This window comes from Homo sapiens, chromosome 18 (assembly GCF_000001405.40).
Source record: "Homo sapiens chromosome 18, GRCh38.p14 Primary Assembly".
In the NCBI taxonomy this organism is placed as follows: Eukaryota; Metazoa; Chordata; class Mammalia; order Primates; family Hominidae; genus Homo; species Homo sapiens.
The window spans coordinates 59,295,288-59,319,676 of NC_000018.10; the positions used below are offsets into that span (position 1 = coordinate 59,295,288).

The window sequence follows — 24,389 nt, forward strand, 5'->3', positions numbered from 1 at the left end:
AATGTGCCCATGGCATCTGGGTTTGTGGACTAGAAGGCTAATCAGCCTCAATCATTGCACCAATGTTCTCCCAGGAATTTCCAAGACAGATTAAACTTTGCCAAGGACCATAGGTTTTGGACCTCTATTCATTTGTTTTATTTGCTTAATTTTATTACATGAAACTTTTTGTACAACACATTTGAGAACCCTGGGTTTAGAACAACTTAGACCCTAAGTTTTCGGTCTCAGTTTCCTTTTCCTTTGATAGATCTTTATTCACTGTATGAACAGAGTCACCAAAAAAAAAAAAAAAAATCAGTATTTTGTTTTGGTTTGGTGGGCTTTAGCTAAATAGCTCGAAGTGTTTCAGTGGTAATTGTCCTAAGTCTTTTGAATTATTCCTTTTGAAAGAGAGCAGATATTAGGGGGGAAAAATCAGTGTCTACCCTGAAAGCTTGTGGCACCAAATGACAGTGTGATTTACTGGAAGGTAGTCTAAAGGGGTGGGATGGGAAGGGACAGGAGAAGAAAAAAAAAAGAGAGATAGGGAGAGAAGGGGATGAAAGAGAGAGAGAGGTTGGGAGGAGACAGAGAGAGATTGATTTAACTTCTTAATGCTCTCTGTTAGTCTACCCACTTTGTTCCCATTGCTATCACCAAGTTCAGACAAGGAGAGTTAAGCTCAACTCAAAAAGAGCAGCCGTCTGCCTGGTTTCCCTCTGCCTCTAATTGTGCCTCCCTTGGTTCCATTCTTCACATGGCCACTAGAACGATGATCTCCATTGCAAAGGGCTAGTGAGGTCTATTCCCTGCCTCAATTCGTCATTGTTCACCACATCTGTGCTACCGCCACTTGGCTGAGAAGCATCCAAGGACCAAAGGATCCAAGCATACTTGATGAGTATCATTGACAAATTCAAGGATCCTAGAGGTGAGGGGTGGGGGTGGTGACCTTTGATTGCCCTGGAGTCTGTAGACTCAGCTCCCTGTGGGAAACCCGGCTCCCAGTAGACACCTTGACTCTCCACATTTCTCTCTGAAGGGACCTGGTGTCCTGCGAATAGTTGGACAGGGTGAGAACTTGGCCTCCAAGGAAGAAAGTTGGAGAGGAAATGCCCCTTGCTTTTGTTTCTTCCTGGCTCATCTCAAGGTCTTTAAGCAGATATGTGTTCTGCATCATCATTTACAACTGAAATTTTCCAGTTTATCTCATTTATAACTAAAAGGAAAGTAAGGTTCCCGCTGCAAGGTGTTAGCTAAATGCTCTGCCAGGAATATTTAGAACAACCAAATTATTGTCTGTCAATGGATCATCGTGGTTTTCCTAACTGTGTTCACTACATTAAAACATGTACTGCTTGAAACGTCCCACAAGAGAGTGGTCTTTTCCAAGGATGGCTGGTTCCCTCCCTCCACCCCTCCCACCCCTCACATCACGGAACACTTCTGCTCCGCTGTCTGCTTGATTTCAGTGAAGGTGGCCTGGGCTTTTTCTTTTATGGTATCCAAGTCCATGTTCTGGAGATTCTGTATCTGCCCAAGAATAGAATCTTTATCTTCTTCCTCTTCTTGATCTTCATCTACCATTTTCCGGAGATCTTCAGGTAAATCCACATCATCTCCAGCCATCTGGATTTGATTCTCATCCATTTCACTCTATGTGAAAAATAAATAGAGATAGATAAATAACTCTAAACTACTAACTCACTAACTAAATAAATTTTAAAAGCAGCAGGAAAAGGTCTTTAGAGAATACAGGAAGTGAGTGGCACTCTTGGCCTTGCAGCAGAGCCTGGTCCTGATGGCAGTTGTGGGGGCTTCTGTAGGGGGGTCCTTTCTTCATGGCACCTTGCGTCGATCAGAACCTTCCAGCATGGTGGTTCTCCAAGTGTGGTCTCTGGACAAGCAGCATTAGCATCATCTAGAGCCTGCTGGAACTACAAATTCTTGGGCCCCATCCCAGACCCACTGAATCAGGAACTCTGGAGATGGAGCCCAGCCATCTGGAATTTTTTTTTTTTTTTTGAGAGGGAGTCTTGCTCTGTTGCCCAGGCTGAAGTGCAGTATCTCGATCTCAGCTCACTGCAACCTCTGCCTCCTTGGTTCAAGCAATTCTCCTGCCTCAGTAAATCTCAGTAGCTGGGATTACAGGTGTGCACCACCACACTCAGCTGATTTTTTTGTATTTTTAGTAGAGACGGGGTTTCACCATGTTGGCCAGGCTGGTCTCGAACTCCTGACCTCAGGCGATCCAACCACCCCGGCCTCCCAAAGTGCTGAAATTACAGGTGTGAGCCACCACTCCCAACCCCATCTGGATTTTTAAGAATGTCTTTCTCTCTGTGATGCTGATACACACAAAAGCTGGGGCATCACACCCCAACTCTGCCTAAGGGCAGCTTTGCAAGTCTTGCAGATTCTATCAGCCCCATGCCAAGACCCACTCACCTGGTTGACCCCACTGTAGAGGATGAGGTCTCAGTTTATAGTAACTAGACAGTATGCATTAATTCACTCATCACACCTTAGTGGCAACTTTTTCTTAATCATGGCTCTTTTCCTCCCTTCCACTAGACAGGGAGCCCGTCATGGGCTCTTGTCAGATTCAACTTTCCACCGTTAGCACCTGGACTGGAGTCTAGCACACAGTACACATGTATTAAGTGAACCATCAAGGGCATGGCCGCCACTCAGCATACTGGCAGTCTAGCCTTCGGTGTTGCTGACGCTGTCACAAGCGCCTTGCACATTTCATTTTGTGATTTTAGGAGTGTCTGTTCTAGAATTTCTTAATGCATGCTGCCTGGTCTTTGAGATTCCTTTATTTTTTTTTTTTTTTAGACAGGGTCTCTCTCTTTCACCGAGGCTGGAGTGCAGTGGTGCAATCTGGGCTCATTGCAGCCTTGGCCTCCTGGGCTCAAGCAATCCTTCCACCTCAGCCTTCCAAGTAGCTGGGACTACAGGTATGCACCCCCATACTCAGCTGAGATTCTTTTACCACTTAGGCTATAGAGTCTCTTGTTCTGTAATGAGAGAGGAGTCTAAAGAAAAATATTCTCTGGGAAAGGTTAACAGTAGCTTACATCCCCAGATGGCTGCTGTCAGATTTTTTGGAGATCAGGTTGTAACATGAGGTGACCTGGGTTTCAGGGAAACAGAAGATTAAAAAGAGTGTCAGAAAAGCTAATGAGAGGAAAGATCTATGTTAGAGCCACCTGAATATGTTGTGACCAGCCTTAAATTTGTTACCAAAGCTCATGAAAAATCATATTAAAAAATGACGATCTTAGTCAAACAGACTACATTGCTTTAAGAAAGATTTCTGCACCTGGTGACTTCTGAGGTGGAGTTAAAGACAGCACCTAAAGAGAGATCTGAATTCTCCCTGTCTGGGTGCTATGTAGGAATGATCAGAAAGAAACATCAGTTGTCTCTAGGTCCAAACAGCACACCAGGTAACCTGGAAACTTCATTCTTCATCTGGAAAGTGGGTTGGAAGGACGAGATGGCTGAAGTCTTTTCCAGTTCTAACACTCTGTGGCTCCCATCCTTGGAGGGGCTGAAGCCCAGCTGCCTTTCCTCAGGGCTCTCTTCTTTGATTCGGTTCCCTGGGCAGAGTGACACAGGAGTCTGGCTCAAGAAATAGCTTGAGAAGCAGATTTCTGATGCAGCAGGAACCACTGATTTTGGGAAGGACAGTCTTCACCCAGGCCCTCCTTGGAGAGCCTGGAGGACAGTCCCACTCCGCGCCAGCCTCCGGAGATAAGTGAAGCCTCTCCCTGCTCTTGGCCAGGGCCTTGGGCCCTCCAAGTGCTTAACGGATTAATTAGTTCCTGGTCAAACTGTTGTGGGATTAATTAGTTAGTTAATCCTTAGGGGCTCCCAGCCAATTGTGCATTTCTATTTATTTTTTATTTGCCTTCCCTAGCGGCTGCTTTCCTTGCTGATCGTCTTCTGGGACTTTTTGCAGGAAGGAGAGGAAAAGCACAAGGTGGACGACTCATTCTCAGTTCATGCCAATGTGGGACATCTGCCCTCTCTTATGCATCCTGAAATCAAATGCAAGTAATCTGAAAAGACATTCCCGGGAATTCTGGCCCCTTCCCTCAGGTTGGTAGTAAGATCCCCAAGCATGTCACCAGGTTTGAACCTGGACAGGGTAACTGCTGTGGGCTTGCAGGGATGGGCAGCTAGAGGGGCTAGAGGAAAGCGTGTCAGCCAGCCAGGAGTATAAAACACCGAACACACTCATGAGGGCTCACGGGATGGTGCTCGCCTGCCTCCCATTCACAGGGAGACTTCAGCGAGGCCACCATCTATGGCTCTGCAGCGCTTGAAGAAGCTTTGGGATGGTTTCCTCCTTCAAGGGTGACTCTGAGGTTCGTTTTATCCTTGTGCTTCTTGCTCAGGGAAGGGAGAGCAGTGCAATTCTACGTTGCCTTATGGAGAGGATCTTGATTGCCCTAACTTTTATCAAAGTGGTTCTCAAAGTAGTTCTCAAAGTGGGTTCTCCAGGACAACAGCATCAACATCTTTTGGGACTTTGCTAGAGATGCACGTGCTGGGACCCTACTCAGACCCACTGAATCAGAAACTCAGGGCTCGGGCCTCGCAATCTGTGATTTAACAAGTCTTCCAGGTGATTCTGGGGCTTGCTGAAGTTTGAGAACCCCTGCTCTACATTTCTTGAAGACAAGGGCTGTAACTTACTCATCTTTCTGTCTCATAACCCAGCAAGGTTTCTGGCATGTAGACACAGACAATTATATGTTTACTGAATAGCCGGGCATGGTGGCTCAAGCCAGTAACCCCAGCTCTTTGGGAAGCTGAGGCGGGGGGATCACCTGAGGTCAGGGGTTCAAGACCAGCATGGCCAATTTGGTGAAACCCCGTCTCTACTAAAAATGCAAAAAATTAGCAGGGAGTGGTGGCACACACCTGTAATCCCAGCTACTAGGGAGGCTGAGGCAGGAGAATCACTTGAACCTGGGAGGCAGAGGTTGCCATAAGCCAAGATCACGCCACTGAACTCCAGCCCGGGCAAAAGAGAGAGACTCTGTCTTAACAAATAAATAAATATTTTTAAAAATTAAAATAAATGTTTACTGAATGATTCAATGAACCTATTGTCAGAGAGGATAACAGCCTTAGTAATACTCAAATTTGTAGGTCCTCTTTGCTGTAAAGAGCTCTGTTTTCGTAGCTATCGGTTTATCTTTATAATTCCATTGGGGCATCGCAGCCTAAATTGCCTGAGTGAGCACATTAGTTCTACCACTTATAGGATGGGTGACCTGGGGCACTTCGTATAGATGGCCTCTTTGAGCTTTATTTCCTTGTCTGTATATGGAGAATTGCATTATTTGCCTTAGAGCTGTGGAAGGTTAATTAGATGGTAACTGAATTATTTAGAATCTGTTAAGCACTCACCCAGTAGTAGCTATTCATAAAAATAATAACCTTCAGAGGTGGGCAGGGGAATTTGCTGTGGGCAGTCTTGCACATGGGGTTAGCTCTGTCAGGAGGCTGTGATGTCCTGGCACCTTACCTCTGACCTAGCAATGACTCCTACCTTCACCCAAAGGCTTGGTTTTTCTAACAAGCCAGGCTTAGTCATTTCCTCTTTAGCACTAGGCTCTCTATTCTAGGAGAAAGCTACCTAGCCAGCCCTAGCTCCCCTTACCTCTTGTCAGGCCCGCCCCTGACTTTTGTGGGTGGCAGAACATAAGTGCTGATAGAAGTTCCTGGCTCACAACCTGGCCCTCTTTTTTTTCCAGTTCCTGGTGCCAGCCCTCACTGGGAAGGGCCTTAGGACCTTGGGTGCATGGCCCCTACCCCACTCCTCAGGCCTAGTCTGCCTGGCCACTCTCAGGAGCACAGATCTGCATCGGAGGCCTGAGAATGCTCTGGAATGCACTTAGGCAGGGCGTTTGGGGTCCTAAGCAGCTTGAGCATAGTCTACAAGAGGGGTGTGGGCTCTGCCTGGGCTAGGCCCTTTGGCCCACAGACTCTTCACCCCGTGTGAAAGAGTGTGGCTAGAAGAGAGACCAAGAGAGCCCTCTAAAACATGGGCCCCAGGGCAGTGGCCTCAGATGTCCAGGTCCAAAGGCAGCAATGGGTGTACTCGATGGCTGTGGTCAGAGAGTCCTGCACTCACCATTGATCTAGAAGTACAAGGCTACTGGCCCTCCACCAGAGCATGGCTGCTTCTGGAGATGATTCTAGTCTTGAAGCCAATTACTCTGGGCTGCAGCCTGTGCCATGGACATCTTATGACTAAAGGTAGGACAACCAGACAAGGCCGTTGAGTGGCTAGAGGAGAAAATGATGCCCTCTGGAACCAAATGTGGGCCTGTAGCCTCATTAGCTCTGGATCCTAACTAATTGAGCTAGCCCTAGACCTAGAACTGGCTAAGTATTCAAGTATCTCCTTTGTAAAAAGTTGCAGCCTATCCAAACCGTTTTCTGGTGGAGGCAGCCTAGGAGAATGAAAGATTGTGGGATTTGGAGTTAGACATGGGTTTGAGTCCCAGATCTGCCATTCACCAATGCATGACCTTGGGCAAGTCAACTTATGTTTCTGATGTCCAATGGAAGGGCCACTTAGAGGACTGTTGAGCAGATTGAATGAGACATGCTGTGAAACAGCCTCGCAAGCATCTAAGCTCTGGACAAATGGTAGCAGTGGTTATGAATATTTTAGAGGAAAGAGGGCAGCTCAGTGTCAAGATCCCTGCTGAAAGGATCCCTGGGATAAAGAAGGCATGGACAGTGAAAGAGACGGTGGGAGAGTATCGGCCCTTAAGAGAAAGATCCGGGACACAGCAAGCAATTAAGAAGCATAAATGGGATTTATACAGTGGACACAGCAGCCTTGTTTCCTCTCTTCCTAATGAACCACCCTGCTGACAGGACCTTGTCTGCAATTCAAACAATGAATGTCTTGTCCACACGTTCTGCTGCCCATTGACAAATCTTGGGTTGGGGAGACCAGGAATATTTGGACACAGTTCACACTTCAAGGAAAAGAAGTAATGCCTCATTACAACCCCCAAATACAAGTGCAGTTATAGCCAATGTGAATCAGCATCACTACAGGCCGGAAGCAGCTCCAGGGAGGGAGGGAAGGCTCAAGGATGAGAACCGTGGCGTGAATGAATGAATGAGTGAGCCAGCACATAATTAGGGGACTTATAGGCTATACTTTGTTCTTAGAGGCTCTGTTTCAGAGATCGTCTCATTTCTAGAAATCTTATCAATTTGGGATATTGTTTAATGCAGTTAAGAGCTAATTATTTTTATGCCAGCTGATGAGAATCCGTTTTAATCTCTTGTTTTTAACCAGACTTATTATCTTTATGGCCAGTGCTGAGTACCCCATTATTTAAATAGCTCCATATCCTACCATTGTCATTTCCTGTGACTGATGCCTGACCTTTCACCAAAGGATAAACATGACCCTGGATTTCAAGACTTACTACTTCTTGGACCTGGATAAACTGGACTTCTCTTTTACCAAACTTGAGATACCATGATAAATTATCTTAGATGGTTATGTCTTCAAAAAGCTGAGCATTCTCCTCTTGTCAGAGTCTAGTTAGCTAAGCATGTTGTATAAGCAAATACCAGTGTGATTGATATTAGGTAGATTTGATTTTGTTTTTGGTTTATTCACTTATTGTTGTCCACAGGATACCAAAAGCTAGAAGAATGGATTTCTTTCACATGGAGGAGTTCATGTAGCGTGAGATTGACATAATGGTGAGGATCATGGACTTGAGCAGTCAGGTACTTGTCTTCATAAACCACTCTCACTGTCCTGGTTATGAGTGAGGCTGCTGCCCTCAGAAGCTAGTGTGTGACTGGTGTGGAGGCCCTGGGCTGGGGCATGCTGGCTGCTCCTTCTGCTGTGCCCCACTGCTGCCCTTCCCTCTTTAGCTACTTAAAGAGCCCTCAGCACCCCTAGAGTAGGACAGATGGTGTGGATTTGTCTTCTTGAAGAATAGGCATCAGTTTTCAGTTTGATTGAAAGTGTGCATGCGTTGGGAGCTACATGGAATGAGAATTTCTAGATACCAGCTGTGCACATCTCATACCTCTTTCCCTTATGAAGACATTCCACAGGGACTCAAGAAGCTCCCGGAGGCCGCATATCCAAGCCTCTCACTTACAGAGGAGGAAAGTGAGGTCTCGAGAGGTAAAGATTCTTGCAAAAATGTCATTCTGCTTTTTAGGGGATGAGAACCTAGCACAGCTGCCAGAAGGGTCTAGCAAGAAAACATGGCTTGTGGGCTCGGATTGTCTCATGGCAGAATCTTGCTCTGCCATTTACTGGCTGTGTGACCTTGGAAAGTCACTTTCCCTCTCTGAGCAGGCGTTCTCATCTGTAAAGGCGAAGTGATATCTACCTACCTCACAGGGCACTTGTGAAGATGACGTGAGAAAGCTGGTGTGGCCAAGCAACACGTCTTGAAATCCTGCTTCACTAGTGTCCAGTGACTGCTTCCCATCCCCATGCTCCCTGTAGACATGTAGTCCATTGCTCTTTCAAGGACATGAGTAGGAGGAGCAAACCGAACTGGGGCAGGGTGAGGAGGGGAAGGAAGAGATGGCGGCTGCTGGGGCCTCTGATGGCCTTCCCACCGCCTGGCCACCAGAAACAGCTGCTCAGAAAGCAGGAGGTTTCGGTGTCTCAGACCCTGCTGGGCAGCCCCAAGAGCTCCTAATCTGAAGGGGTCTGGCAAAGGAAGGTTCACACAATCATCTTTGTTATTTTTTTTAAGAGGCAAATTTTACATTCAACTGTAATGGAGCTTTCAATGTGACACATTTAAAGAAAACTCTGTTAAGTTTCTCCTATATGCATCTTTATTCGAAATGAATGGTGCCCTTAATACGGCAGACAAACACCAGGTGTAACTAAATCATATAGCTCAGCAGGGGTCACAACATTATTTTTCAATGACTAACCTAGATTGACAATTCTGTTAATAGGATTAGGGTTCATTGTGGAACTGTTTTCTCTTATTAATTTAGCTTGACTTACATATACATTTTAAATTGGCCAGGGAGAGGAACACATTTGCTTTTAGAAAGAATCTTGTAGCTTTATTTAAAACATATTGCTTCCTCTACTTGAAGAAATATGGTGTTTTAATTATAAAACAAGGAAACCTTTGTGTTTTATACAAAACTACAATATCCAATCTGGACTAGTTATTTTCATAAAATTGTATTTTACTGTAACTCTAATGGCAGGTAAATTCTTTCTGTTGTGTTGACACTTTGTTCTTTGGGCATTTTATTTTATTTTATTTTATTGAGATGGAGTCTCACTCTGCTGCCAGGCTGGAGTGCAGTGGCACAATCTCGGCTCACTGCAACCTCCAACTCTCTGGTTCAAGCGATTCTCCTGCCTCAGCCTCCCGAGTAGCTGGGATTACAGGCATGCGCCACCATGCCCAGCTAATTTTTGTATTTTTAGTAGAGACGGGGTTTCACCATGTTGGCCAGGATCGTCTCGATCTCCTGACCTCGTGATCTGCCCACCTCGGCTTCCCAAAGTGCTGGGATTACAGGGGTGAGCCACTGCGCCCGGCCGGGCATTTTTCTTTCTTTTCTTTTTCCCCAATAACATCCATTTACTCAACAATCAGTGTGTGTGTGTGTGTGTGTGTGTGTGTGTGTGTGTGTGTGTGCAATTTTCTATATCTCAGGCACCTTGCTAGGCACTGAGCACAGAGATTTAAAAGTCGGTCCCTTTTTAAAAGGAGCACACAGTAGGTGCAGATATTTAGGGTCATAAGATGATGTAGGAGACATGGACTCAAGATATATGGGGACATGGAGGAGGATGACCCAATCCAGAACTAGGTAGAGGGAGGGAGATCATGGAAGGCCCTGGAAGAAGTGGCACTGACCAGAGTCTTACAGAAAGCAAAGGCCACAGGGAGCAGGGAACGAAGCAGGAGGAAGTGCTAGTCCAGGCAGGGAGTAGTAGCAAGAGGTGAGGCTGGAGAGACAGGAGCCATATCATGGCATACAGGACAAGGAGTTCGGATTTTATTCTAAAAGACATAGTGGCTTTAAACAAACAAACAAACAAACAAACAAAAAACAGGAAAGAAACAGGATCAGATTTGCATTTTAGAAACCTCAGTATGGAGGGGGACAAGACTCCAAGTAGAAAAGCTATGGTGAATTGAGAACTCTGAATTAAGATGACTTGGCGATTTACTGGACGTGCAGCTGGAGCAGGGAGGGAAGAGGCAATGGTGACATCTGGTAGCCAGCCTGGGAGATGATGGGCTTGTCGGGAGAGCCACCCATGGAAGTGGAGCCTATAGGAGGAGCAGGTTTATGGGGAGAATGAGCAAGTGAGTTTTGGATATGAGCTGGTTCTACCTGTGAAGTGTCCAAGGAAAGGTGGCTGCAGTTATGAAATTTCGGGAGATGTGGTCTGGAGGTATAGATTTGAGAATCATCAACATGTAGGTGGTAGCAAAAAGCAATGGCAAGGTGCAGCCCTCGAGGACAATGTGCAGGCTCGAGTGAGAAGAAGAGCCAGCCAAGGGGGCACCCCGGAATATCCCACAATTTGCAGGCAGACAGAGAAAGATAACTCATAAAGAAGAAGCAGTACGAGAACAGGAACCAGAGGGTGATGTCTGCAAGCTGAGGAGAGAGAGGGCTTTAAGGAAGAAGAGATCACCAGTGCTAGAAGAAACAAAGAGGCCCCAAGAGAAATTAAGGGAACCACTTACTGTATTTAGACAGACCCTGAACATCTGGAAGAAGAAGGTTTCAGCAGAGCAGTGAGAACTAGTCATTTAAGGGAAGACACCTAAAAAGCCATGTTTACTCAGAAAGTACTGTTTCCTTGTTTTAGATGGGAGAGATTTGACCTCCTTTATTAAGGAGAGGCCAATCAAGAAGGAGAAACTGAAGATACAGGATGTGGAATAATTAGTGGTGTGCGATCCAAATCTAACGTGAGCATCATGGATGACTTTAGGCATTTTAAGTCCTCTGATGACCTATAATTTGACAACTAGAGGAAATCGACATAATCTGGATATGTGTACACGAACATTATAATGACTGGTATAGATACATATACATATACATACTTACTGCAGATTACTGCAATTTGATTACTGCCCTTATTTAATTACTTATCTGATTACCAAAATTAACAATGGTCACCAAAAGACATTGGTATAGCAAATAGTATTGTCACTAACAATTAATAAACTTGAGACCCAAGACCTTTTATTGTTTATCTAGAGGGCTATGGCTTATGTTGCTCCTTTTCAAAGAGTCTACATTTGCTTTTCCCTGTCAGCAATAGAGTGAAACTCTTTTTCAGAGGAAACACCAGCCAAATAATTTCTTTAGAAAATACAGTTCTAATTCCAAAATGTGACATAGTTATCCTCATTAGACCTGACAGCTCCCGGGAAGACATTTTCTCAAATCTGCTCCCCGTCGGGCCTTGGTCAGGGGAAGGGTCTAGAACTGAATCCTGCTGTTATGTAACCGCTGTGGTGGTGACCCTGGGGAATTGTGAATGAGGCACCCAGGGGGTCATCCCTCATTAGCTGGAGGACATGTTAAATTCGTCCAATTCCCTGTGGGCTGTTAATACTATTACTATGAATGCTTACCCAATATGGGCTTTAGAAGATGGCACAGGTTAAGTATTCTGCAAACCTGGCAGGGAGGGGACGGTTATTAGGAACCCACTAGAGTCCCAGTGACCCCTGCTTTCTGTCTTGTGCCGTTTTCTTTGTCAGACAGTCTGTTCAGTTCTAAAGTCTACCACCAGGAATCTGATGCCCAGTTTAGAGGGATATGAGGAGAAGGGGGCACGAAAAAGTCCTGGATGAAGAGTAAGGAGGCTTGAGTCTCCATTTGTCACAGCAAGCTTTGTGACCTTCGGAACGTCCCTACATTTACATGATCCTTATGGTTATGTATTGAGTGCACACATATGGTATGTGCTTTTCCGGATGTAAAAAAATAAGTCTATTGAAAAGAGAAACAGCACTCAGACACTGGTGTCGAGGAGCCAAAGTACTGTGGTCATCCAGGAACCTGAACCTGTTCTAGGAAAAGAACTTAGAAGGTTGGAGGGAAGTGATGGTTGGCATGTTCCTCAGATGACCTTGGAAGCCAAGCCCCAAAGAGGGGACTTATAAGGACTTGGGAATCTGTTGCTCTGTTTCCCTCCGAATACAGCAGTTCCTTTGGTTCAGCCCTCGGTCAGCCCTCCCCTGGCCTCAGTAAGAGCCAGCACTGGCAGGCCTGCCTCTCCTCTCCTTCCCTCCAGTTCTTTGGACAGAGCACCATGCCTTGGGCTTGTCAATCACATCTCTTAGTGACCCAGATGGGCACTGTCTGGCCTTCCAGGGTCTCCTTGCTCCTTAATGAAGCATCTAGGAGACAAAACCCTACACCTCGCATCCCCACTGTGTTTTTCTGATTTTTTTTTTTTTTTTGAAATGGAGTCTTGCTCTGTCGCCCAGGCTGGAGTGCAGTGGCCCAATCTCGGCTCACTGCAGCCTCTGCATCCCGGGTTCCAGCAATTCCCCTGCCTTAGCCTCCTGGGTAGCTGGGATTACAGGGGTCCGCCACCATGGCCGGCTAATTTTTTTTGCCCGGCTAATTTTTTTTTTTTTGTATTTGTAGTAGAGACGGGGTTTCACCATGTTGGCCAGGCTGGTTTTGAACTCTTGACCTCAGGTGATCCGCCCGCCTCGGCCTCTCAATGTGCTGGGATTACAGGCGTGAGCCACCGCGTCCGGCCTCTCTCTAAGGATGGCTTTCTAAAGGTTCCATTACGGAGTTTCCTCTGCGTAATCAGAGACAGACTTTAGGTACCTACAGTTCAATAACAACCAGCAGCTAAGCCACTGGGTAAGTTGGCTGAATTCAGTATTAGAATAAAAAGCATGGCACTGGAGGCCTGGGGCATGATTCTGCCCCCCATAAGCTTCATTTATTCAGTCATCTCTCAAGGCCGAAGATTCCAATTCCTTCAGCCCGCCCTCGATTGCTGTCGTTTCAGAATCTCTCTGCAGCCTGGTCACTGCGGAGACAGCGGAAACTCGGCTGTTTGCGAGCTCCCTCTCCCGTTATGCCATGGGAGGATAGAAAACGCACGATCTGGTCCTTAATAACAAAATAGTAAGGCTTTTTTTTTTTCCTTTTCTTTCTTTCTTTGTTGTTGTTTTGTTTTCCCCCCCATCCCATCCAATGACCTATCAAGACTTTTTTTTTTTTTTTTTTTAAGTCACCTCTAGAAATTGGTTTCTGCCCCTCCCTGGTCCTGCCACCACCCGCAGCCCGGGTTCCGCCTCCCGCGGGTGCCAGTGGCCGCGGCGCTAGGAACACCAGGGGGCGCCGGCGTCGAGGATTCGGGGCCCGCGCTGGCGACCGCTGCGCCCTCCTTGCTCCAGCCAGGATCTGGCTTGGACGGGAGCGGCTGTTCTGCATAGCCTGGGCAGACGTTAGCCTGGGAAACGTGTCTGTCCCCCGCAGCCTCTTTTTCGCCACATGGGCCATCGAAGGGTCCCTGTACCCAGAGCCTCGTCAGTGCGGGGACGCGGGCGGGAGGGTAACGTGCGACAAGTGACAGCGCGGGAGGCAGAGGAGGCGCCCAAGGGTGGGGCTGGTTTGCAAGCGCAAAGTGTTGCACTGGGGTAGGGGAAGTTAGCCACAGCTGGTGATAACTGGACTAAGTGGAATACGATCCAGCTGATTTTTTAAACTTTTAAATTTTAGTTTTTAAACTGCTCCTTGCAGAGCAGGGCAGTCTGCCCAGAGTAGCCGATTTTTCTTATCATATAGTTTTATTAGGTGCTATTTTTATAGCTAGCTACACGGGATTAGAATTTCCATGTGCTTTACAAAAAGCAGGCAATTGTATTATTGGTATTTGTAGTATCTTCCATACCATAGGCACGGTTTTGAAACATTGTGTGTAGAATCCATTGTTACAAATGCAACCAAATATAAAAACGCCCTTGGAGGAGGGGGTCCCCACCTGGAAGTAAACTGCAATGAATGATGGTGTGTACAATGTTCTCAAGTGAAATTCTTATCTGTTTGTTTGGATTGTATTTGGAATTTAGACAGCTACTTGCAGATCTAGGGTCAAACCGTTAGACAACACAGGAGAAATAATATGCTCCCATTTTTTTAAGCCACGTGGAATTCAAAACTGCCCTAAAATTTTGGGGAACAGCTCAAAATATTAAGAGTAGAAAGAGGCCGGGCGCAGTGGCTCACGCCTATAATCCCAGCACTTAGGGAGGCCGAGGTGGGCGGATCACAAGGTCAGGAGATCGAGACCATCCTGGTTAACACGGTGAAACCCCGTGTCTACTAAAAATACAAAAAATTAGCCAGGAGTGGTGGTGGGCGCCTGTAGTCCCAGCTACTCGGGAGACTGAGGCAGGAGAATGGGGTGAACCCAGGAGGCAGAGCTTGCAGTGAGGGGAGATCATGCCACTGCACTCCAGCCTGGGTGACAGAGTGAGACTCTGTGTCAAAAAAAAAAAAAAAAAAAAGAAAAAGAAAAAAAGAGTAGAAAGAACAAATGCCTTGAAAGGAGGAGCCCTGTTGAAGTCCTTTTGTGAACAAGCTGCTCTTTTTCATGGTTGTGGGGCCTGAGTTCCAGTCCTAAGTCTGTCACAGGAGATGTGGCTTATTGCAAAGCTACTTAACCCTCCTGGGCTGCAGTTATCTCAGGTGTAAAATGACGCAGTGGTATGAGATTATTAGATGAGCTTTATGGTCTCTTTCATGGTCTATGAGAAAATCAGGTGGGGTCTCAAATGCATTATGCATTTGAAACAGCTGTAGAAAAGGGGCTATATGAACATCAGTAAGCCATGCAATGAAAGACACTGGTGGGCTCTACTGTTATTTATCAACATCCTTCATGTCGGTCCCTCCCCCTAGCTGGCTTTAGAGAGCAGTAGCCTATGCAGGTATAGCCACAATCATTCTCCAGAGAGGACCTGGATTTGTGCATTTCATGGCTATCATTTTTTCCTCTTTCCATAGTTTCTGTTGGAAAGGCTCTTGTTTCAAAAGATACCCTGGCACAGAGATTTAAGAATTATTTTTCTTGGAAGAGTACTTAAACCTTACTGCTAAGCCTAAGGGTGTTCACCCCTGAAGATCTGGAAGTCAGCAAGACTGCTGATTTACCATTAGTGGAGAAACAGATAAAAGGCTTGGGGCCTTGAGGCTCAGGAACCTCCATTGTTGCATTGATTACACACCTAAGGACTGGCGGTCCTCAAGACCCCTGGTTGTTATTATCAGGAAATAAGACTTTTGTGCCCAGAGATCATAATGTCAATAATAAGAGCTCTATTGTCAGGCGTTGTACTAGGTCCTTTATATTACATTATCTCAGACAAAGATCCTATGAAGTTAGGTACTTCAGCCCTCATTTTATAGATGAGGATACTGAGGCTCAGATTTTTTTTTCTATTGCTGCTGCATAAATTAAGAGACTCAGATATTTTTAAAAACCATGTGATATTGCATCACAGAGCTACAACGGAACCCCAATTCTCCCTAGATCCCTACAGAAGAATAACAGTTGCCAAAAATAAATCTGTAAAAAGCCCTACATTCTGGACGATGCACACCCAGCCAATCGTGTGTGTGTGTGTGTGTGTGTGTGTGTGTGTGTGTGTGTGTGTGAAATTTCTGCTTCATCCCAACAAGTTGATGATGCTTTAATCAGATGGCCCAAGAGCAGAGGCCAGGGGCTTCAGCGCAGTAGCATGAATCCGACTCAATCTTCCTGCCTAGGGCGAGACCACATTGCTAAAGTGAGCCAATGACATCCAGGGAGTTTCAGGAAATTCACCAGACAATGAAAGTGGAAAGGACAGTGTTTAGAAGTGCTTCACTCTTCCAAAATGCAAGCACAGTGAGGAAAAGTTATTAAACCTGAACGGGGCTGGGGGTAGGAAAAGCAAGGCATTCTTTTCCAAGTTCATTGGTTGTGAATGAAATGAGCTTACATTTTATTGTGGGTTTTCCTTCCCTTATTAAGAACAGAACCCAGGTTCCTTGGGCACCTTAGGGATCAACCTCTACCATGTTTAAGTCTTTGGTGATTTCATCAGTGACCTTGCATAGACAGTGGCTTCTCCCTTGTCTAGTGCTTGTAGTTTCTAAAATCAGCTTTTTCTGGGATCTGCTGGGGATCCATGGAAGGAATTGGTTTAGCAGCACTTTCTAGACCACCCAGACTTGGAGATGGCTCTCATACTTGGGATCATGCCCTTTGGAGGGATCTTTTACTTTGGCTTCTCCAGATGGAAGATGTTCTTTAAGGGATGGCGCATCTTTGGAATATGAAATTGAATAACCAGCTCAGAAGGTGAAGGTGGAGTCATTTAGTCAGGTAGACAGGTAGTGAAGGTGGAGTCAGGTGGTATGAGTCAGAGTAGCAAAGTGATGGGCCCTCTGTCACTACTGGATGCAAGCCCTGGAATAGTACCTCCAAGACGTGTTCCACAACATGTCAACGCATTCCCTTCCCACCAGGAGACCAACGACTCACTCGACCACAGCCTACAGCAGTCACCCTCAGCCAGTGCTGAGATGCATAAGATGGTGCTAGGTGATGACTGTCACTACTACATTATTCCCCAAACCAGCAAGCGATGGTTCCTTTTAAATAGAGGTGGAATATCATAGAAATCAGGACCGTGGGCTCTATCTTTCCTGGCTATCTGGCCCATGGCAGGAGGGTACCTACTTTCTTCATGCCTGTGTTTCCTCTATGATAAGACAGAGATGATAATAGAACCTAAATGACTTAATACATGCCAAGGTACTGTACCTGGTACCTAGAAAGAGCTCAACCAATGTGAGCTATGATTATTGTCCTTGTTGTGTATTTACATAGAGAAGTTCTAGAACCTTTAGATAAGTTTACATTAAAATGTCATCTATAGGTATTAACTCCAGTTTTTTTTAGCAACAGTGGAAGTTCATAGAGGTTAAGTTAAAAACTGGAATCAAGTTTTTATGAACTCCTAGTTCAGTGCTCTTTTCACTATATCAAACATTTCAGTTATGATTAGGATATACGTGTGTGCATATATATATATATATCCTGAATATGTGTGTGTGTATATATATATATATATCTCCTGAATATATATATATCCTGAATATGTGTATATATATATCCTGAATATATATATATCCTGAATATGTATATACATATCCTGAATATATATATTTTTATATATATATATATCTTGAATATATATATATATATTCATATTCAGGAACATGATCCTTTGTGGATAATCAACCATGACTTCCCATTTATCATTAATTAAGAAATGATTAGATGTTTCCAGAGTGTCTTACCTTTGGGAGCCTGTATTTTTCTCTGAGATGAACTCTGAGGCATGCCCTTTCTGCCTTTTTCTGTGTAAATGCAGCATCTCTTTCCATCCTAAAAGTTAAAGAATAAAGGATCAGAAGGATACAGAGAGCTAAGGACATTCCTGCCCGTGCTCAGAGGAGCCAGACACAGGGTTACACCTTCTGAGATGCCACTGCTGGCAGACACTTGGGAACTATGGGATTTTTTTCCTAGGTCCCCAAACGTCTGCCTCTCTGTTTGTTACTCTACTGTCATAACTTTCAGTATATACCTCTAAGTCTCAAAGACAATTTGGTCCTAGGAATCTCTGTGTGATGCGAACCAGGAGATTTTTCCTAACATGGAGTTTTCCGTGGACTGTTCAGCCAGGGACCATGAGCCTCAGAATCACTTGGTGCACCTATGACAAATGCAGCTTCCTGGGCCTGATCCTAGCCCTGCTGCATCAGAATCTCTGGGTGCAGGGGAGGGGAAGCTACATTTTTAGCAAGCTCCCCGAGTGATTCTTACGCAAACTAAAATAGGGCCACAGTGTCCAGAACCAGGCAGTTCTTTGAAGACCGTTGTTGTTGGGGGATATAATATAAACCTGTCTCCCTTCATTGTTACTCTCTCCAGACCCCAATTTAGGTACGGTATTTTCTTCCCAGTTTGGAAGGAGGTAGCCCCAAACAAGGCAGGGTATGTTTCCAGAATGTCAGACTGGGGTCCTGCTGTGTGAATGATCTAATTGAACTCATGATGTTGCTGGTTTGAAATGGACGTTCTTGCTAATGATGATTCAGACAAAAGCAGACACCTTTGGGAATGTCTGCAAGGCTCACAAGCACCACCACCCGTCCCTGCTGCCCACAGAAGTCCTTTATTGGTAGCTGAATTTATATACATGGCCCTGCCCTCTGGCTATATTGGGTTAGACCAAGCTCCGTAAATGAAATCTCTTTGAAAATTTGGGAATGGTACTAAGAATGACAGACACTTGCAGTGTGGCTGTCAAAATAACAGATGAACTTGGTAGCCATTGGCTGTCATTTTCCACTAACCTTGTAGTCTGGCTGCTGAGGAAGAACAAAGCAGCCATGCCCAGATAGAAGCAATGGTAAGAGATAGGGAAAGAGTGCTCGTGGCCTCTCAACAGCCTTCTGCTTTCTGGTTTAGGCCCACGTGAGGCCTGATGGGAATTCTACTTGTGGATCTGGTGAACTATCTTTGCATAAAGCATTATCTGCTTAAAACAAATCCCCTGTTTTCATTTTCAGGTGAAAACTGGTTTCTATGTCTTGACTCCGAGTTTGTAAATAATCTTAACCATTATACAAAAAAACTGAGTGTTAAGGAAGGAGCTGCAGCAAATGATCAGTTTAAACTGATCAAAGGCCCTGGGCTCAGGTGCTCTCTGAACTCATTTCCATCCACAGAATGTCAGGTCTGGAACGGGCATGAGAGAACATCGGGTTCAACCTTCTAGTTTTGGAGAGGGACATCGAATAAAGTGACCTGTCCAGGAGATTAGCGACCTGCGGCATGGACAAGCAGCAGACCTTTTCTCCCCATGTTTTACTGTAAAAACTTCCAAACATACAGAAACGTTGAAAGAATTTTGATATCAAATCCATCTAGATTCTACAATTGGCATCTCACTGTACTTTTTTTTTTATCACACCTATTCCTCTCTTTATCCACATTTTACTTTTTTGATACATTTCGAAGTTGCAGAAATCAGTAACATTTCCCCCAAACTCTTCAATATGCATGTCATTAACTAGCGTGACATGTTTGTTTATAGTTTCTCTTTTCTTCTTGTGAAGCAAAATTTGTATCCAATGCAATGCACAAACCTCTGAAGCACACCATTCAATGATTCCCCAAAAAGCACACACCTGTGTAACCCAAAAACCCTCTCAAGATAGAAAACATTACTCTCACCTGGGAAAATTCCCCCATCCCCATTCCTGATCAAGGCCTACCCCCTAGCCCTAGAGGCAACCACCACGCCTTTTCTACCATAGATTGGTTTTGCCTGTTCTAGAACTTCATAAAATGGAACCATACAGTTCATCTTTGTGTAAGGCTTCTTTCACTCAGCATAAAATACTTTCGAGATTTAACCTTGTTGTTTTATGTACTAGTAGCTGGTTCCTTTTTATTGCTGAGTAGTAAGTATTCTATTGTTTGCGCAAATACAATCACCATTTGTCTAGTCATTTTTCTGTTAATGAACACCTGAATTGTTCCCCATTTGGGGTGACAGTAAGTAAAGCTGCTAAGAATATTGTTCTAGATTTTTTTGTGGACATATATTTTAATTTCTACTGGGTAAATAACTAGGCATGGAATTTGCTGGGTTCTACGGTAACTTACTGGGATGCATTTAGTTTTATAAGAAACAGCACGACCTTTCTCCAAAATGGTCATACTAGTTTATGCTTCAACAATTGAAACAAGAGTTCTAGTGGTTTCACATTTTGGCCAATATTTAACATTTTTTGTCTTTTTGATTTTAGCCATACTGGTGTTTATGGAGTGCTACTTTACTGTGATTTTAATTTTTTCCATTTCCAAGACAGCTAATGATATTAAGCAGCTTTTCATGTAATTTCCAGTAAGATTTTCATGTACTAATTGGCCATGTATCTATCTTTCTGAAGTATTTCTTCAAATCTTTTGCCCATTGTTTTTGCTTTCATTATTGAGTTATAGGAGTTCTTCATATTTCCTAGATTCCAGTCCTTTGTCAGATATATTTTCCAAATATATCCTCTCAGTCTGGCTTGCCCATTTATTTTCTAAATGGCATCTTTTAACGTATAAAAGTTTTTAACTTAGAGTTGAATTTATCATTTAATAATTTTATGGTCATTGATATGGTCATTGCCAATCTGGGTCATGATACAGAAATCTTCATCTACTTTCAAGTTGCAAAGATATTCTCCTACTTTTTTTTCTAAAAGCTTTATAATTTTGGCTTTTATGTTTACGTGTATGATGCATGACAAATTAATTTTTGTGTATAGTGTTAAGTAGGGGTCAAAGTTCAATGTTTTTCAGTTGTTTAGCACCATTTGTTGAAAAGACTTTCCGTTCCTGGTCTGATTATTTTGGCGCTTTTGTTGAAAATCAAATAACTATAAACCCCATTGATCGATTTGTTGATACTAATGCCACGCAGAGTTACATTCCAGTCCTCCAGAGCCAGTCTACAAATCACGCAGAAAAGCTGGTTGCTCTGTTTATAGTCACATGCAGCTAGCTAGTCTCCCCCCACCAAGTAAAGTGTAAATTCCTGCAGAAGAAAACCCATCTCTTCCATTTCAGTACATTCCTCACAATGCTATGCTCATACTAGGGGTCCAAACAATTACTGAATAAAACAAAGGTCAGAGTCAAGTTACAAATGATATTGTAGAAACTGTTGAAGCATAACTATGGCAAAGAAGCATTTTAATATAATTGAGAAAATGGCGGGAGAAACAGACTATTGTTTTATTTCCTTTCCAGATAGTCTATTTATGTTTAGACCTCTTTCAGTACTAATGTTACCAGTGGTGCGTGCGCACACACACACACACACATTGAACACAGAAAGAAAATAAAAATGAATGTGCATTATTAAATAGAGTGCATTGCTAAATAGTTTTTTATTTATAATTCATATAGTCTCCCCACTTCCTACAATGATGAGGATGGGTTTAGGAGGCTTTCATTTGCTAACATTGATTTTAATTATTATATATACTAAACTGTTTGTAGCTCTCTCTGCGTTTATCTTGTGATGAATTATTTTTAATGCCTACTACATATTGCATTCTAGGTGGTGAAATTCTTGAAAACTCAAACAATGGACTGAAAGTCATCCCTCTTTATCATAGGGAAGCCAAATGCTCCATTGTCCTGACACTATTTCTTACATTGAGTGACTACATAAATATATAATATTCTCACACACATATGCAAAAAGCTGAGTAGCTGACAACTCAGTCTGCTGATTGACTGTATGATTTGGCCATTTTGAGCTTTGATCTGTCCAGATATAAAATTAAGGAAAACTAGGACATTAGTTAATCAAATAGATGCCTTATCTGCAATCGGATCTGCTGCTTGAACATATTAGGTGATATTTTGCATGCTCACAACTGTAGTCTACATTTCTGTTTTCATTAGCCTACTTGATCTGAGAATGTTTGATGCTGATTTTTGTCTTCTATCCTTCATTACACAGTACTTATTTTGCTTTTAAGCTTTTTGTTCTTTTGCATGCCATAGGTAAAATCAGCCAATATTCAAGGAATGCTGCTTCTTTTGCCCAAGTCTTAGCACCATCATTTTTGCTAGTTGCATTGACTGTTTTTTAAAAACCAACTTTAAGTTACTGCAGAACCAAGCATAATGTATTCTAGGTAGTCTATAAGCCATGATTTCTTTCAGAAAAATACAATAGACAAGGTTTCCACTAAACGTAGTCTTTGTACTTTCTTTGTTTCCTCCAGGTCATTAACCTTTTCACCTATAATCATCTTAGCGATAGGATTTAGGCAACTATTATGTAATTGATCATTAGCAAAAGAGTCCTGGTGGCAAAAAAGAAATACTTTTCTTTTGAAACATATGATAAACATTTAACCTCTAGATTGATGTTTCATTTCTTAACTGATTATTAAAAGAATCTTAATTCTACCTTAAACATTTAAAAATTACACAGAGATTACATTTATTTCAGAATCAGTCTTCAAGTGGTGAAAAGTTGTTGGTGATATTCACATTCTATAATACCCAATTAAATGTTGCTTATATTTTATATTTTATTTTTGTTATATTTTATATAGCCAAGAAAATGCCTTTATTTTTTGGAGGAAGGTGGCTGAAGTATTTGGGGGTGAAGTACATGACATCTGTAATTTACTTTAAAAGCTATTATCTACCATCTATCTTTTTAATCTTTAAGCAAATGTAGCAAACTGTAAGCTGTTGATTTTATGTCATAGGTATATGTGGGTATTTGTCCTACTATTCTACTTTTCTGTATGTTTAGAATTTCCATATTAAACAGTCCACAAATCCATTCATAGTCTTTGATAAGCCAAGTCTTATGACATAATTGTCATGTTATGCTTCCTGGGTTTTTTTTTTTTTTCTCACATGCAAGATCAAAGAAGCTGCCCTCTATGTTATTTTAGGCCCTTTTCTAGGTATAAGGTCTGAATTCTTACAATTTGAAGACTTTCTACGTGCTAAGAGGGTGAAGTTTAGAAAGAATGTAAAGATAGTTAAACCTACCACTTTTCATCTAAATAATTAAATTGAGGTCAATCAAAACATGCCTAGACCAGAAAGTGTTAAGCTGCTTTAAGAACAACATATAGATTCATTTATTATTGTTCATTTCCATTCATACATGTAGAACATAGAACATAGTAGCTGCTGATGTTAGGGAACCGTTTACTTTAGAAGAACAACCTTTCCTTGGGTTAGAGGTAAACGGCAAAAGGAAAGGCATCTTAAAAAGCAAAGAGAAATAAACTGGAGAACTGAAGAAGGTATGGCCAGAATGAATTTCCTTTGCTTTTTAAGGGAAATGAAATAGCATGTACTCACTTCTCCTCAATCATTTGCTTTTGATACTCCTCATACTCCTCTCTAGTCATCCCTTGAGCTGCTGCAGGATCAGATGCACCTCCTTCTTCTTTATTTTCTTCAGACCCACCACCAAATCCTAAATTCTTTACCTGGTTACTTATCATACTTTTCATAAGGAAAGCCATTTTCTCTGCCCCAGAAAAATAAAACCAAAATTCAGACAAAAGCTGAAAAAAAAAATCCAAACAAACCCAAGAGAAAACCTCCAAATATTCTCAATGACAGCAATACATTTAAGAGCAAAGGACTTTGCACAACCTCATCTATTCAAGGGCATACTGATAGAGAAGAGTGGTTTGTCGGCCGTAAGCTGGATTAAAGTGGTGAACTCCTTAGTATATAGAGGCAGATGGTTCAGATTACCGAAGCATACAATCAGAGGCAACTGCCTACCTTCTGAATTAATACACTCAGCTAATTTCACAGGAAAAAGAAATCCCCACATCATCTACCCCTTTCTAAATTTTTAATTATAAGCACAGCAGGGCTTCATCAAGAGTCCTGTTTCAATTAAATTAATCAGAGCTGACTGATTATATAGCTGTTGTGGAATTTCCAAATTCCAGCCCTTGAGCAAAACATCCTGTTGAAAAACTGAGTCCAATGAGACTCAAAACCCAGAATGCTTCATTAAGCAAAAATAATCCTTTCGATCCATCATTTTATCTCATTGGACTTTAAGTACTATGCAAGGATTTGCTTTTTAGTTTGCTTGAATTCGGTTTGCTTCAATAGTTACTGTGTCCCGCACATAAATACACAACTGACAAATGCAAAGACCCAGACAGCAGGTCCTTGGTTTACATCTGGAAGATTATCTTAGCCTTCTCCTGCATGGAAATATTACTTGTCTATATGGAAATGATGTGCTTGACACTTCAAGGCTCTGATCCAGAAGGTAAGACCATTATGTGAGTCAAATCATCAATATGTAAGGGGTCACCTTTTTTCTCTTGCATAAAGAGTGCACCTCCTGGGTGCTCTATTTAAGCTCACTGGTGTACTTGGATGAAACTGACAATGTTTTGTATCCCACCAGATTCTCTATGGCTGTGGTTTTCTTCAGGTCAAGGGAAGAGTTGAGTATGGCTAAGACTTCAATCTACACTAGTATCTTTCTAATTAAAGCCTGCCAAAGAGGGTGGGGTGGGAAGGAAGAGATGTAATCCATTGTTATTTTATCTGAAGGCATGAGTCCTCTCAGAAACCAGGTGATTATCTCTCTGATCATATAGAATTACATAATCTGGATTCTTGCCTAAAATGCTTGCTTTATATATTTTATCGTCTGCTTTCCCTTTTAGTAATCTATTTTAAAATGCTGCTTAAATGGTCTCAA

The 24,389-nt window shown here is 43.1% G+C and overlaps 1 protein-coding gene across 1 annotated transcript, besides 4 other annotated features; it reads right to left on the reverse strand.

The window, feature by feature from the left end:
* Nucleotides 1-114: 114 nt before the first annotated feature.
* Nucleotides 115-23,362, reverse strand: CPLX4 (complexin 4). The gene is made up of 3 exons (NM_181654.4): nucleotides 23,009-23,362; nucleotides 17,398-17,485; nucleotides 115-1,638 (listed from the first exon to the last, which is right to left on the reverse strand). The coding sequence occupies exons 1-3, from the start codon at nucleotides 23,173-23,175 to the stop codon at nucleotides 1,411-1,413; spliced, it is 483 nt and encodes a 160-aa protein (NP_857637.1). The 5' UTR covers nucleotides 23,176-23,362; the 3' UTR covers nucleotides 115-1,410.
* Nucleotides 13,404-13,473: a silencer, noted in NCBI's record as "silent region_9493". NCBI's record gives its function as "represses an Ori minimal core promoter by ATAC-STARR-seq in GM12878 lymphoblastoid cells {active_cell/tissue: GM12878}" and the evidence as "EXISTENCE:reporter gene assay evidence [ECO:0000049][PMID:35858748]".
* Nucleotides 13,524-13,573: a silencer, noted in NCBI's record as "silent region_9494". NCBI's record gives its function as "represses an Ori minimal core promoter by ATAC-STARR-seq in GM12878 lymphoblastoid cells {active_cell/tissue: GM12878}" and the evidence as "EXISTENCE:reporter gene assay evidence [ECO:0000049][PMID:35858748]".
* Nucleotides 13,614-13,673: a silencer, noted in NCBI's record as "silent region_9495". NCBI's record gives its function as "represses an Ori minimal core promoter by ATAC-STARR-seq in GM12878 lymphoblastoid cells {active_cell/tissue: GM12878}" and the evidence as "EXISTENCE:reporter gene assay evidence [ECO:0000049][PMID:35858748]".
* Nucleotides 16,470-16,764: a silencer, noted in NCBI's record as "tiled region #1890; K562 Repressive non-DNase unmatched - State 24:Quies". NCBI's record gives its function as "represses a minimal TATA promoter and a strong SV40 promoter by Sharpr-MPRA in K562 cells {active_cell/tissue: K562}" and the evidence as "EXISTENCE:reporter gene assay evidence [ECO:0000049][PMID:27701403]".
* Nucleotides 23,363-24,389: the final 1,027 nt, after the last annotated feature.

Bases quoted from the DNA above. Each gene is read 5' to 3' on its own strand.
- CPLX4 (NM_181654.4), bottom strand. From the start codon at position 23,175: ATGGCTTTCCTTATGAAAAGTATGATAAGTAACCAGGTAAAGAATTTA. The intron at 17,486-23,008 runs GTGAGTACATGC...TTTAACTTTTAG, and splicing joins AAGCAAATGATTGAGGAGAA to GATGGAAAGAGATGCTGCAT. The intron at 1,639-17,397 runs GTAAGACACTCT...TTTTTCACATAG, and splicing joins AAAAATACAGGCTCCCAAAG to AGTGAAATGGATGAGAATCA.